Source organism: Homo sapiens, chromosome 13 (genome assembly GCF_000001405.40).
Source record: "Homo sapiens chromosome 13, GRCh38.p14 Primary Assembly".
NCBI classification, from domain to species: Eukaryota; Metazoa; Chordata; class Mammalia; order Primates; family Hominidae; genus Homo; species Homo sapiens.
In genome coordinates this window covers 49,833,169-49,847,497 of record NC_000013.11, presented here as the reverse complement: position 1 = coordinate 49,847,497, position 14,329 = coordinate 49,833,169, and the positions used below count along the sequence as shown (strand labels likewise).

The 14,329-nt window shown below is 47.6% G+C and overlaps 1 annotated feature.

Annotated features, from left to right (window-relative positions):
- Positions 10,654-11,280: an enhancer, noted in NCBI's record as "H3K4me1 hESC enhancer chr13:50410354-50410980 (GRCh37/hg19 assembly coordinates)". NCBI's record gives its function as "activates a minimal SCP1, AML or CMV promoter by ChIP-STARR-seq in primed H9 embryonic stem cells {active_cell/tissue: H9 hESC(primed)}" and the evidence as "EXISTENCE:reporter gene assay evidence [ECO:0000049][PMID:30033119]".

Genomic DNA, 14,329 nt, shown 5'->3' with positions numbered 1-14,329 from the left:
TTTAGAAGCGGGTTTTAATTGCTTACTGCCTCTCCATTGAAGGAGCCAGGACCCATAAAAAAAAACAAAAACAGTGGTAACTACATGTACTCGGCTGCTGGTATCTACACTGCGGGGCAGTGGGAGAGGTGTTCCCCCAAGACATAGCCTTTCATGCCAGAAAAACTAACCAATTTGAAGTTCTATATCACTGAACTTGTATTTGGAGGCAGTCCAGGGGATATTCTGCATCTTCTTCCGGCAATCACCCATCCATCCCTCCCTCCCTCCCTCTCATGCAAGGCTCTGTGCTGTGGCTGTGGAGAGATGGCCCCAGCTAGATGTCTTTCCACCGGACATTTGTGATCCAGCACAGTGAAGCTCACTCTCAGGAGAACTGGTACCAAGAGCACGATCAGAAAACCCTTTTTTTTTTTTTTTTTTTTTTTTTCGACAGAGTCTTGCTCTATAGGCGCCCGCCACCACACCCAGCTAATTTTTTGTATTTTTAGTAGAGAAGGGGTTTCACCATTAGCCAGGATGCTCTCGATCTCCTCACCTCGTGATCCACCCGCCTCGGCCTCCCAAAGTGCTGGGATTACAGGCGTGAGCCACCGCGCCCGGCCGGCAATTCTTTTTAAGAGGATTAAAGCGATTGAGTAACACATGGGGAGGCTGGGATTCTGTTGTGCTAAACAATCCTGGGCCTGGGGACAAGGCCCTTGGTTTCTGTGTATATGAGATAAGGAACATGGGCTCCTTCCTGGCTCGGCCGATCTCTCATGTCACATGCTGGTATCATCGACTACCAGTCTTGAAACTCCTCTAATCGCTCTCCCGCCTGCACCAAAGTTCACAAGGCATAATGCTGTTCGTGTGCAAAATGAACTGTATTAAGACCCCTGGGCCGGGCGCGGTGGCTCACGCCTGTAATCCCAGCACTTTGGGAGGCTGAGGCGGATGGATCATGAGATCAGAAGATCGAGACCGTCCTGGCTAACACGGTGAAACCCCGTTTCTACTAAAAATACAAAAACAAAATTAGCCGGGTGTGGTGGCCGGCGCCTGTAGTCTCAGCTACTCGGGAGGCTGAGGCAGGAGAATCGCGTGAACCCAGGAGGCGGAGCTTGCAGTGAGCCGAAATTGCGCCACTGCACTCCAGCCTGGGAGACAGAGCGAGACCCCGTCTCCAAAAAAAAAAAAAAAAAAAAATACCCCTGGAAAAGAGACCCCAGGGCTGTGGCAGCCTCCTTCCCCTCCCCTCTGTGCATTTGTTCTTTTGTTTTGTTTTGCTTTTTTGAGACCGAGTCTCACTCTGTTACTCAGGCTGGACTACAGTGGCATGATCCTGGCTCACTGCAAGCTCTGCCTTCCAGGTTCAAGCAATTCTCCTGCCTCAGCCTCCCAAGTAGCTGGGATTATAGGTGCCTGCCACCACACCCGGCTAATTTTTGTATTTTCAGTAGACATAGGGTTTCACCATGTTAGCCAGGCTGGTCTTGAACTCCTGACCTCAGGTGATCTGCCTGCCTCAGCCTCCCAAAGTGCTGGGATTACAGGCGTGAGCCACTGCGCCCAGCCCCTCTGTGCATTTGTTCTATAGGTTAGAGGACGCAAGGAGTCCACCTTCCTCTGGAGCCCTCCCTGGGCCCTTAGTTCTTCCATCATTTCTGTTGAAAGATTTCACCACCAAATATCTAAGCAAATAGTATTGGGTGCCATGGAAGGTTGAGACATTAGAAAGCTGCTTGTGAATAAAAGTCATAAGAGCAGAGCAGAAAGTCCATAGAACAATTCCTGTGCCTTGGGTAGGGTCAACTGAATCTGATCCTTAAGCCCCAGCCTTTGGCATCCTTCCCTTGTCCAGCTAAGCTCCCTTTTCCCAGGCTTGATGACCGGTGCCCTAACCCTGCCCATCCAAAGCTGCTTGCAAGAGCAGGGAGACTACAGCATCACAGGCAGGCACAAACAGTCAGGTGCTGGCTCTGCCCTCCACGAGCTCTATGAATTTGGGTAAGTCCCCTGGTCTCTGAGCCCAATGTCCTCATCTATAAAGTGAGCATAGCAATATCTAGTGCACAAGACTCCTTCAAGGCATATGAAATAGTGGATATGAAACACCAGCACGTAGTACACAGTAAATAAAAGGTAGGTATTTTTTGTAGTGTTACCATTCCAGGTGTACTGCAATTTTATAGGCAAAAGTTTCAGTCAAAGGATTGACCTCATACAGTGAATTGAAGGCCATAACCAGGAAGGAAAGTGTGTTTAAAGAGATTGGTCGTCTTTCTACTGCCATCACATGATAGCAGGTGGGCAGCTACCAGCAAAAAAAGCAGTTTTGATAATAGAATATTAGAATAATTATTAGATTATTTGGAATACTGCTGCACTTACATTGAAACAATTTTAGAATTATCAATAAATTTGGATTTGCATTGGCTCATTTGGCTCTAACAGTGTACCCTGTAAGTAGTTCAGGCAGATATCATAATCCCTGTTAAGACATGCAGAAACGGCTGGGTGCGGTGGCTCACGCCTGTAATCCCAGCACTTTGGGAGGCAGAGGTGGGTGTATCACAAGGTCAGGAGTTTAAGTCCAGCCTGGCCAAGATGGTGAAACCCCATCTCTACTAAAAATACGAAAAAATTAGCCGGGCAGGGTGGCAGGTGCCTGTAATCCCAGCTACACAGGAGGCTGAGGCAGAGAATTGCTTGAAGCCAGGAGGCAGAGGTTGCAATGAGCGGAGATCATGCCACTGCACTCCAGCCTGGGCAACAGAGTGAGACTCTGTCTCAAAAAAAAAAAAAAAAATCAGAAACAAAATAAATAAGTAATAAAATAAAATAAAAACAAAGAAATGTAGAAACAGGCTCACAGAGGTGAAATGACTGGTGGGAAAAGACTTAACCCCAGGGGCTGATTCCTCTGGATTCCAAGCTCAGTGTGCTTTCCACCATGCCCTCAATTGCAAGTGTGTAATATTGGCAAGCTTAACTGGACCACAGAGAGCCACTGTGTGTCATTGTCACGACATGTCCCAGAGCCATCAGCGCAGCTTTCCTCCAGGAGCATGTCTTGCATTTCTCCTGGGAACTACGGCGGAATATAGTTCTTGCCCACAGCGTTACTTTCCAGCCAGCTTCTCTGGAACACATGTGCCCCATGCTGCGGACAGAACCAAACTCTTGATCTTGCCCTGCCCCTCGGCTCCTCCTCCAGCCTTCCCCGTGCCTTTGGGGTACAGGAAACTCCCAACAGTCCACTTCCTCCTCCCAGAAACCTGGTGCTTCCCACTCCTTCCCTGCTACACTTTGCTACCCTGTCCTTATTCTTCCCCTAACAAGCTGTAGCTTCATCCACTCCCTCTCGACTGCCATAATTCTGTGACCATTTTCGTTTGACTTCAGCTTGCATCAGAATCACTGGGGGAGCTTGTTAAAACTCCAATGGCAGGGCCCCCACCCCGAGTTTCTGACTCAGTAGATCTGAGGTGGGACCCCAAAATGTACATTTCTAGCAAGTTCTCAGTGATGCTGATGCTGCTGGTCTGGGGTCCACCCTTTGACAACCTCAGTCTAAGTAACTGTAATAGCCTCCTAATGCCACCGAACCTCCCTCCAATCCATTCTCTATACAGTAGTCCAAGAGATCTTTTCAAAATCTAGCTGGATCATGTAACTTCCTTGCCTAGAACCCTTCCTTGCCTAACCCACTTCACTTAGGAGGGAGACTATGTCTGTCTTCTGTCCCAGTGCCTTGTAGATGCTGCACAAAGCTCTCTTGAAATTCATGTCATCAGACTAAAATCCTGCCTCCCTCCTGGTTACTGTCACCTGCCAGTACCCTGGTCATTCCTCCTTGTCCCTTACAGACTTGAGCATTGGGCTCACTGCTTTCATTTTGACCATCTACTAGTGTCACTCTTTGGAGAGTGATCCGTCTGACACCTTGGCCTCTCCGTTCCTTGACCTTTGTGCCTCAAATGATCTTGAGCCTCCTACTCTGGAGGTCACTTGCTTGACCTTGTCATCGCCAATGACCGTGTCGCCCCTTATTCTCACTTTCAAGCGCCTCACTTCCTGACCACCTTGTCCTCTCTTTCCAGTTTAGTGGCTCTAATGCTTCCACACCAGCAATTATTTAATCTTATGAAGAACCATGATTCATTGGCCTTGTGAACAGGTCTCAGTCAATTTAGGAAGTTAATTTTGCCAGAGTTAAGGATGCACACATGGACACAGCCTCAGGAGGTCCTGATGACATGTGCTTAAGGTGGTCTGAGCACAAACTGGTTTTATACATTTTAGGGAGGCATGAGACATCGATCAACATACATAAGATGAACATTGGTTTGGTTCAGAAAGGCAGGACAACTCGAAGCAAAGGCAGCACAACTCAAAGTGGGGAGAGGGCTTCCAAGCCATAGGTAGATAAGAGACAAATGGTTGCATTCTTTTGAGTTTCTGATTAGATCAGATATGCATTCATCTCAGTGAGCAGAGGGGTGACTTTGAATAAAATGGGAGGCAGGATTGCCCTAAACAGTTCCCAGCTTGACTTTCTCCTTTAGCTTAGTGATTTGGGGGCCCCAAGATTTGTTTTCCTTTCACAGCCCCTATCATCATCCATCATCTCTTAGTTTTTCACTTCATTCCTGACCCAGCTCAGATTACATGGCACATCATTAAAAACACTTCCTTTCAAATATTACTATCTCTTTGGCTCTCCCTTTATCCTTGATTAGACCCATTTACTCCATCTCTGTGCCCAAGCAGCAAGAGAAAAACACCAGCTGGGTGAATGTACTCACTTTAAATTGAGGCCACAAACCTCCAAGGTCCATGCTCGCAAATCCTATCCACCTCTTGTGTTAGTCTGTTTGTGCTGCTATAAAAAAATACCACAGACTGGGTGATTGATAAGTCATAGGAATTTATCTCACGGTTCTGAAGGCTGCGAAGTCCAAGATCAAGGCATCGGCAAGTTCAGTGTCTGGTGAAAGCAGCTGTCTCTGCTTCCAACATCACCATCCCTCGTTGCTGCATCGTTTAGAGGGGATGAATGCTGTGTCCTCACATGGAGAAGGCAGAAGGGCAAAAGGACCCAGCTAGTTCCCTCCAGCCCTTTTATAAGGCTATGAATCTCATCCATATGAGGGCTGAGCCCCCATGACTTAACCACCTCCTGTAGGCCTCACCTCAATACTGTTGCACTGGGGATTAAATTTTAACATGAATTTTGGAGAAGACACATTCAAACCATAGCACTTCCCTTCCTAACCAAAACGTGGTGCTGGACCAACAGCACAGGCATCACTGGGGAGTTTGTTACAAATGCAGGAGGCCAGGCCCCACCCAGACCTACTGAATCTGAATCTGCATTGTAACAAGGTCCCCAGGCGTCCAGATGATTCATTTCCACAATTAAAGTTTAGAAGCACTGCCCTAGTGGTTTGTTTTTTGGATCATCAGGACAGTCATTCATTCTCATCTTTTTCTTTCCCCCTCAAATCTTCTGAACCCCTGTGGCCATCACCCTGAGCCTCACACTCCATTGAGAAACCAGAAGCAGTCACACGAAACCCCTTCGCCTTCCAGTCACCACATCTCCAACCTGCTTCCATCTGCATCCACATCCTGCCTTCCCTCCTGTTATTTATTTCTTTTTTTTTTTTTTGAGACAGAGTCTCACTCTGTCACCCAGGCTGGAGTGTAGTGGCACAATCTCGGCTCACTGCAACCTTGTCTCCCTGATTCAGGCAATTCTCCTTCCTCAGCCCCCTGAGTAGCTGGGTGCCCACCATCACACCCGGCTAATTTTTGTATTTTTAGTAGAGACAGGGTTTCACCATGTTGGCCGGGGTGGTCTTGAACTCCTGACCTCAAGTAATCCACCTGCCTTGGCCTCCCAAAGTGCTAGGATTACAGGCGTGAGCCACCGTGCCCAGCCCCCTCCTGCTATTAATACAATGGGAGATGGGGCTCAGCTCTAGTCAGAGGCCATTTCGTTTCATTGGTCTCTGGATTTCACCTCTCTTCTGCTTCCCTGAATCACGAGTTGCTCCTTGGCTATAGACACGTTCTAGTCCCATCTTGTTCTAGTCCTGTCTTGAAAGACTCTCTCCTGATCTTGCATTCAGTCCTCCTGTCCATTTCTTCACTGTGAAATTCCTGCAGACTTTTTTCCTTCCATATGGAAGGAAATATATATGACTACATGTATAAATATATATATGACTACAGACACATGCCACCATGCCTGGCGAATTTTTTGTATTTTTAGTAGAGATGGGGTCACCCTATGTTGGCCAAGCTGGCCTTGAACTCCCAACCTCAGGCGATCCACCTGCCTCGGCCTCCCAAAGTGCTGGGATTACAGGCGTGAGCCACTGCACCTGGCCCTCCTCCCATATTCTTATGGTTCACTTCCTCTCTTCATTTAGGTCTTGGTGCAAATGTCACCTCTGCAGAGGGGCCTTCCCTCACACCTTCTGTAAAATAGCACACACATACTTATTCAGCTTTAATTATGTTTATAACACCACCATCTGGTACGCCCTGTGTTTCTTTGGTGTCTGTCTCTCCTTACTGAGGGAAAGTTCCAGGGAGCAGGGACTTTGTTCTGTCTGGGGCCATATCCCTGAGGCCTGATGCTCACTCTTGTTGTGCAGATGAGTGGGGGCCAGCTTGGAATGCCACATACCAGGAAGAAACACCAGGCTACCAAGAAGACAAGGCCACAGAGACCCCTGTATTTGCTAACAGGCGATGGGACCAATAATAGTGTCTTTTTCTCCCTTCATCGCTTTCTTAGGGTCTGTCTGCTCCAAGGACATAGAAATGCACTTAATAGACACAAGTAAAAAAGAGGGGGGCCACTCTTCTAAGAGCAAGGAGGGTCTCACTGAATCCCACACAGGAAGTTCACAGGGGCCTCCCAGACATTAGAAAGTCACCAGATGGCCTTCAGTGATTCTCCCCTCCCTATATTCATGCCTGGCGTGGGGCCCTCCTACACAGGATGGGCTTGGCCTGTGTGTCACCAATAGGATTGTGGAAACAATGGCATGTGGCTTCTGAAGTTAGATCATCAAGGACATTGCAGCTTCTGCCTGCTCCCTCTTGGAGCCATGAAAGCAACTAGAAAGGTCACTTAGCAGAGGGAACTAGTTCTCCCAATAGCGGCCCTCTCCTTCTCACATTGCGATACACTTTTTATTTGGGCACACGACAATCCAAAATAAAGACAGCATTTTCAGCCTCCTCTATAGGTGGGTGTGGCCATGAGATTAAGGTTCAGACAATGGGTTGAGTGGAAAAATAGTATGTGCAACTCCCAAATTAAACCCTTAAAGAGAAATGTCCTATCCCCTCCTTCCTTGTTCTCTCCCTCCATTGTACTGCTGAGCCAGCGTGGACCACATAGATGAGAGTAACCACCCAGGGCTGCATGATGACTTTCTTTTTGAGACGGAGTCTTGCTCTGTCGCCCAGTAGGCTGGAGTGCTGTGATGAGATCTCAGCTCACTGCAACCTTTGCCTCCCAGGTTCAAGTGATACTCCTGCCTTAGCCTCCTAAACAGCTGGGATTATAGGCGCGTGCCACCATACCCAGATAATTTTTGTAATTGTATTAGAGACGGGATCTCACCGTGTTGCCCAGGCTGGTCTGGAACTCCTGACCTAAAGTGATCCACCCACCATTGCCTCCCAAAGTGTTGGGATTATAGGTGTGAGCCACCGTGCCTGGCCTGCATTATGACTTTTGGGAACCCTAAGCACCTTTGCCTTTGTGGGCCCCTTCTTCTGTTAAATTATATTTTACTACTGTATTAGTAAAACGGCAAAAATAATTCAGGCTGGATTTATCATTATATTCTTTTTTTCCTCCTGATTCTAAATGAAATTAAAACATTTTCGTGGGTCCTAGGCACTGTGTCTGCTGTGCCTCACGGATAGGTCGGCACATAGAAGAGTCCAGGCACTGGGAGGGCCTTCACTGGGCAGGACTCTCCCTTGAAAAAGAATTAAAGGTCTGCCTTTTTTTTAAGTTGCTGTTACTTTGGGTCTCTCTGACATCCATCTGAACCTTCACTGGGGGGCCGGGAGGCTTCCTGTAGAGGTGACATCATGAAGGTTGAATAGAACGTGACCAGGTGGGCAGGGGACAGTAGAGGAGCGTGTTTCTGGCAGATAAAACAGCTTGAGCAAAGGCTGAGAGGAGACAAGGTGAGAGGAACTGGGGGAACTTCACTGTGGATGGAGCTTAGATGCAAAGCTGTGTGTGTGTGTGTGTGTGTGTGTGTGTGTATGTGTGTGTCCTTTGATCTGTTCTTAGAGCCACTCTGGAATTTGGCCACACCCTCTGATCTCTTTACCACCAATGTCTGCAGGAGCCAGCCCAGGCATGAATAAGTGAAATGGCCACAAGACAGTGACAGTGACTCTCCTCTCCAAAAAGAGAGTGAGCGTGTATGAGGTCTAAGGGGCCACCACTGCCCGGCTGCTGCCATTGGCATGTGAAATTGCCGGTCCAGGGGTGAAAGAAAGAGCTATCCATTTTTTCTAGAGAAGCCAGAAGTTTACTTATGAAACTCCTTTTAAGTGTAGGCCATTAATTAAAATAAATAACAAACACTGTCTGCCCCGTGAGTCCCTGAGCCACCACCTGGCACCTTGGCTTGTTGAACCCCTTGGGCCCCTGTGCTGGGCCCCACCCTTTTCTCTCCACAGTCTCCAGCGTCAGCAGCTTCCATTTGGGATGGGGAACAAGGCCAGATTTGGAATCTTTAAAGGGCTAAAACAGCCGTTGCCCAAGCTGTTTTATCTGCTTTGATTCAATTCGGGTTAATACCGTTGATCGATCTTATGCCACAAGTTTCAGTGACACTTAACGAGAAACTCTGAGTGAAAAAAGAAAACCAAAACACAACCGCTTTGAGGATCCAAAGCGATGACTGTGCACGTGGAGATGAAGGGGGAAGGTTAGCGAATATTTATGTATTGCTTACCATAATATTTAAGTTAAGTCTGTACTCTTTCTGTAGTTGGACATCATGTAGTTGGGTTTCTGGTACTTAGAAGGGCAAAAAGCCTTCTTGTCATAGAGTTTAATTTCAATAGTTCTCTTCCAAGGACAGTTGACTTGTAATCTTGAAACTATGCATATTTGTTAGAGAAAATTGCATTTGTTGAAATGTTTGTGGTAAAGAATGTATTTCTTGGCCGGGCACGGTGGCTCACGCCTGTAATCACAGCACTTTGGGAGGCCGAGGCTGGCAGATCATGAGGTCAGGAGATTGAGACCATCCTGGCTAACATGGTGAAACCCCGTCTCTACTAAAAATACAAAAAATTAGCCGGGCGTGCTGGCAGGCGCCTGTGGTCCCAGCTACTCAGAAGGCTGAGGCAGGAGAATCACTTTAACCCGAGAGTTGCAGTGAGCCGAGGTCCCGCCACTGCACTCCAGCCTGGGTGACAGAGTGAGACTCCATCTCAAAAAAAAAAAAAAAAAAATGTATTTCTTAGGCCAGGCATGGCAGCTCACGCCTGTAATCCCAGAATTTTGGGAGGCTGAGGTGGGCGGATCGCTTGAGCTCAGGAGCTCGAGACCAGCCTGAGCAACATAGTGAGACCCACCCCTGTCTCAAAAACGAAACAAAACAAAACAAAGAATGTGTTTCTTCACTTAAAATGACCACCACTGTGGTTTTTCTAGAAGGTTGCATTTGCTCCCCAGCCTTGTCATACATACCTGCTGAGAATGACCTCATTAATGTAATTCAATTATTATATAAACTGTCCATTTTCTTATTTAGTTAGGCAAAGTGTCTGGAAGCCTCTCTTTTCTGCAAAGGGAATTTCTGCAAGTAAAGCCAGTCAGGGGCTTCAATAGATTTATTTTTAAAGCACAAAGCAAACTCTGATCCTCCCATATCATGTAGATAGTTGTTGAAACCCCGGGGTGTGTAAGAGATTGCTCAGAAAGAGTGAAGACTGAGAGGAAAAGAGAGCCATGAGAAAGGCCCCAGCAGAGGGGAGCTCAGCATCCCAGACACCTCTGGGCCTGTCTCCCACCCCCTGCCCATCCTTTTTCATTTTGTTTAAACTTCAGTTATTGCTGTGGCAGTGGGTTCGGCTGATACCCCATCCATCCCTCCCCTCAGCCTCCTGTCGAATCTCTAGCATCTATCGGGGCCTGGGGATCCCTGTGGGGTCCCATTGAGCCATTCAGATTTGTGTGAAAACCTGGAAGTACTAGGGAGTTCCTCACCTTTGGGCACGTCTCGAGCAGTTGGGGCTGTCAGACAATGCTGAGGGCTGTTCTCCCCAGTGACTCAGAGTCCCCAGTGGGGTGGCTTCCTAGGGCCCACAGCAGTGACTGGCTTGAGAATACTGCCTTGGACTCACTCTCCCTCCATCCTGCTTTTACTCAGACACCACTGCCATTCCTGGAGTCCCTTCCTAATGAAACTCCCTACCGACAGTTCTGTCCAAGGCCCACCGGGGAAGTAGGTAGCACTGTTTTAAACAAAGGGAATTTATTCAGAGAAATGGTTACATATGTGACAGAAGAAGTTGAGAAGCCCATGAGGGGCAGGGAGACCCCAGTCAGAAGTCATTGACACCTCCAGGCAGGAGGGACAAAGGACAGGGGTGATGTCACTACAGCCTAGAAGAAGGCAGAATCACAGGGGGCCTGTCCAGCAGGCCCTGGAGCTGCATCTGGAAGTGCTGCCCCCACCTCCAACTGGTGCACCGCTGGCCTGGCCAGAGTCCAGCCAGCAGCCAGCTGACCTGGGAACCTAGGAGACGTCAGGGATCAGCTCCCTGCAGGAGGCCGTGGAGCAGAGGAAGGGCAAGGAAGGGATGCGAGGACAAACCGGTCTGGACTTGCACAAAGGAACAGGCACTGGGAAAAGGAAAACAAAAGAGATTGAGACTGAGCAGCCAGAGAACTCTAAATTGGTCCAATTTTTCAAAGTGTGCTTTGTAAGATTAAAGGAACCTTCCTGACTATTACACACACATATATTTTCCTGCTCTGTCAGCTGAGAGGGCCTGGAATTAATGACACCCCAGTGGTAATGACACACCTAGAGCCCAGCTCTTGGTTTGTAATACCATTCTTCACGAAAAGGAACTAAGTCTTATTGGAGAAATGGCTGACTCTAGGACTGGGTCAGGAAATACACAAGGTGAGCCTGGAACATCTTTAGTGCCAGAAAGTAATAAAGTGTTAAAAAACCCAAACAAACCCAAACCCCCCCACAATGATTGGGGTATGCCAAAGGGACACAGAAACCAACTGACAGAGCTCCCAATGGCCAGAGCTGGGAACATTTGAGCAACAAAATAAAGCAGTACTAGGCCGGGTGCAGTGACTCACGCCTGTAATCCCCGCACTTTGGGAGACCAAGATGGGTGGATTACCTGAGGTCAGGAGTTCAAGACCTGCCTGGCCAACATGGCGAAACCCTGTCTCTTCTAAAAATACAAAAATTAGCCAGGCATGGTGGCATGCACCTGTAGTCCCAGCTACTCAGGAGGTTGAGGCAGGAGAATCGCTTGACCCTGGGAGGCAGAGGTTGCAGTGAGCCGAGATTGTGCCACTGCACTCCAGCGTGGGTGACAGAGCGAGACTCCATCTCAAAAATTAAAACAAAATAAAATGAAGCAGTACTAGATGATGACCCAAAGTATAAAGCAAATATCCATGAGTCCATACTGATATAAATAAATGGCTGAATACATGGGAAAGGATAGACGAATCCCCAGGGCAGAAGAATACCAAACAATGTATGTTGATACTCCACCCTAAAGGAAATAGAATATAAACCACCATTCCTAAAATGTGGGCTGCACACAGTGACTTTCTTCCAAAGCCTACAATATGGAAAGGGGGAAAATGAGCAACTTTACAGTGGAGAAACCTGACAGACACTACCTCAGCCAGGTGATCAAGGTCAACATCATCATGGTAAGTGATATTGACAGTACGTACCCTTGATAGGATGTGACCCCAGTGGCACTTTAACTATCTGGTCTTACTCCCCAGATCAACCCCAGTCAAATCAGAACAAGAACATCAGAAAAATCACAATTGAAGAACACCCTACAAAATGCCTAACCAGCATTACTCAAAACTATCAAGATCATTAAACAGAAGGAAAGTCTGAGAAACCATCACAGCCAAGAGGGGTCTCAGGAGACATGGCAAGTAAATGTAGTGTGGGATCCTGGAACAGAAGAAAGGACATTAGGTAAAAACCAAGAAAACCTGACTTAGTGTGGACTTTAATTAATTATAATGTACAAATATTGGCTTATGAATTGTGCCAAATGTGCCATACTAATGTTAGATACGAATCATACGGGCACTGGGTGCAGAGCACATAGGAACTCTTTGTGCTATCTTTGCAATTTTTCTGTAAATCTAAAACTGTTCTAAAATTTAAACTTTTTTTTTTAAACCTACACAAATGTAATTTTTTTTTTTTTTTTGAGACAGAGTCTCGCTCTGTCACTCAGGCAGGAGTGCAGTGACGTGATTTCAGCTCACCGCAACCTCCACCTCCTGGGTTCAAGTGATTCTCCCCACCTCAGCCTCCCCAGTAGCTGGGATTACAGGCTCCCACAACAACACCCGGCTAATCTTTGTATTTTTAGTAGAGATGGGGTTTTGTCATGTCGGCCAGGTTGGTCTCAAACTCCTGACCTCAGGAGATCCGCCCACCTCAGCCTCCCAAAGCGCTGGGATTATAAGCGTAAACCACTGCACCTGGCCACAAATGTAAAATTGTCTATCATTCAGCTCTGCAGGCACATACCAAAGGCTCTCTCTAGGCAGACATGGGTTACAGGATCTGAAAACACAATAGGGTTCCTGCCGTTAGTAAACATACAGCCTGCTCTAATATAGGCTACAATAAATATCATGTATGCAAGAAGAGAAATATGCACAAGGTGCCAAAACAATTGAGAGAATGGAGTGATTGAGTCTTAAAGGCTTGGAGATAAATTGTTATCCAAATAGGATTTGAGAAAGGAATAGGATTTCACTAGGAAGATAACAGAGGGGATATTATTATTGAAGACTTGAACACTGAGAAAACAAGGACTGGGCCTGTATGTACCTGACCATAAACATTCTTCTGGCAGGCACAGTGACTCACACCTGTAATTCCAACACTTTGGAAGGCTGAGACAGGAAGATCGCTTGAACTCAGGAGTTCGAGACCACCCTGGAAAATATAGCAAGACTCCATCACTACAAAAAATTAAAAAGATCAGCCAGGCATGCTGGTACATGCCTGTAGTCCACTTGAGCCCAGAGGTCGAAGCTGCAGTGAGCTGTGATCGTACCACTGCACTCCGCCTGGGCAACAAAGTGAGATCCTGTCTCAAAAAATAATAATAATATTTTTTCTATACCTAAGGGCTCTCAGAGATGTGCAGCATATTGCTAGTGGTCTGGCCCTAGAGTCCAGTTGTCTGCAATTTTTTTTTTTTTTTTTTTTTGAGATGGAGCCTTGCTCTGTTGCCCAGGCTGGAGGGCAGTGGCTTGATCTTGGCTCACTGCAGCCTCCTCCTCCTGGGTTCAAGTGATTTTCCTGCCTCAGCCTCCTGAGTAGTGGGATTACAGGCGCACGCCACCATGCCAGGCTAATTTTTGCATTTTTAGTAGAGATGAGGTTTCACCATGTTGCCCAGGCTGGTTGCGAACTCTTGACCTCAAGTGATCCGCTTGCCTCGGCCTCCTAAAGTGCTGGGATTACAGGTGTGGGCCACCATGCCCAGCCCAGTTGTCTGCATTTCAATGACTACTCACCACACCCATCCATGAATATCAGACTTCTCTCAGCCTTATCTGCCTCCTCAGCTGCCTGTTTTGCCTCAGCTACTGTGTGTGGCCCACACACCTGCTCCCTATCTGGGGTTATGGCTCCTCCAACCACTTCCAGACTCAGATGAACAGCCAACCCACAAGGCCTGGGAACTAACTTCCCCAGCGCCTGCTAAAGAGGCTGCATGACACCACCCAGGAGGAAGGCATTCTCGACTCCCTATGGGACAAACTTGGGCCAGTAGAGACAAGAGACAGGGGAGAGATGGCAGCAAACTCCCTCTCCCCTTTCCTCTCCCATGGATCATTCTGAGGTGTGGTTTTTCCACGCAGCCAGTGTTCCCTAAGGCCAAGAAGCCATTCCTGCCATGAGACCAGGTGTGCTGCTTCATGGCTCACAGTAAAGTGGTAGCCAGTGTGGAAACTCATCGCCTTGCATTTGCTTCCCATCTTCCCTGCCTCACTCCCCCTACCCCTCACTCCCACATCCCTAGAATTGCA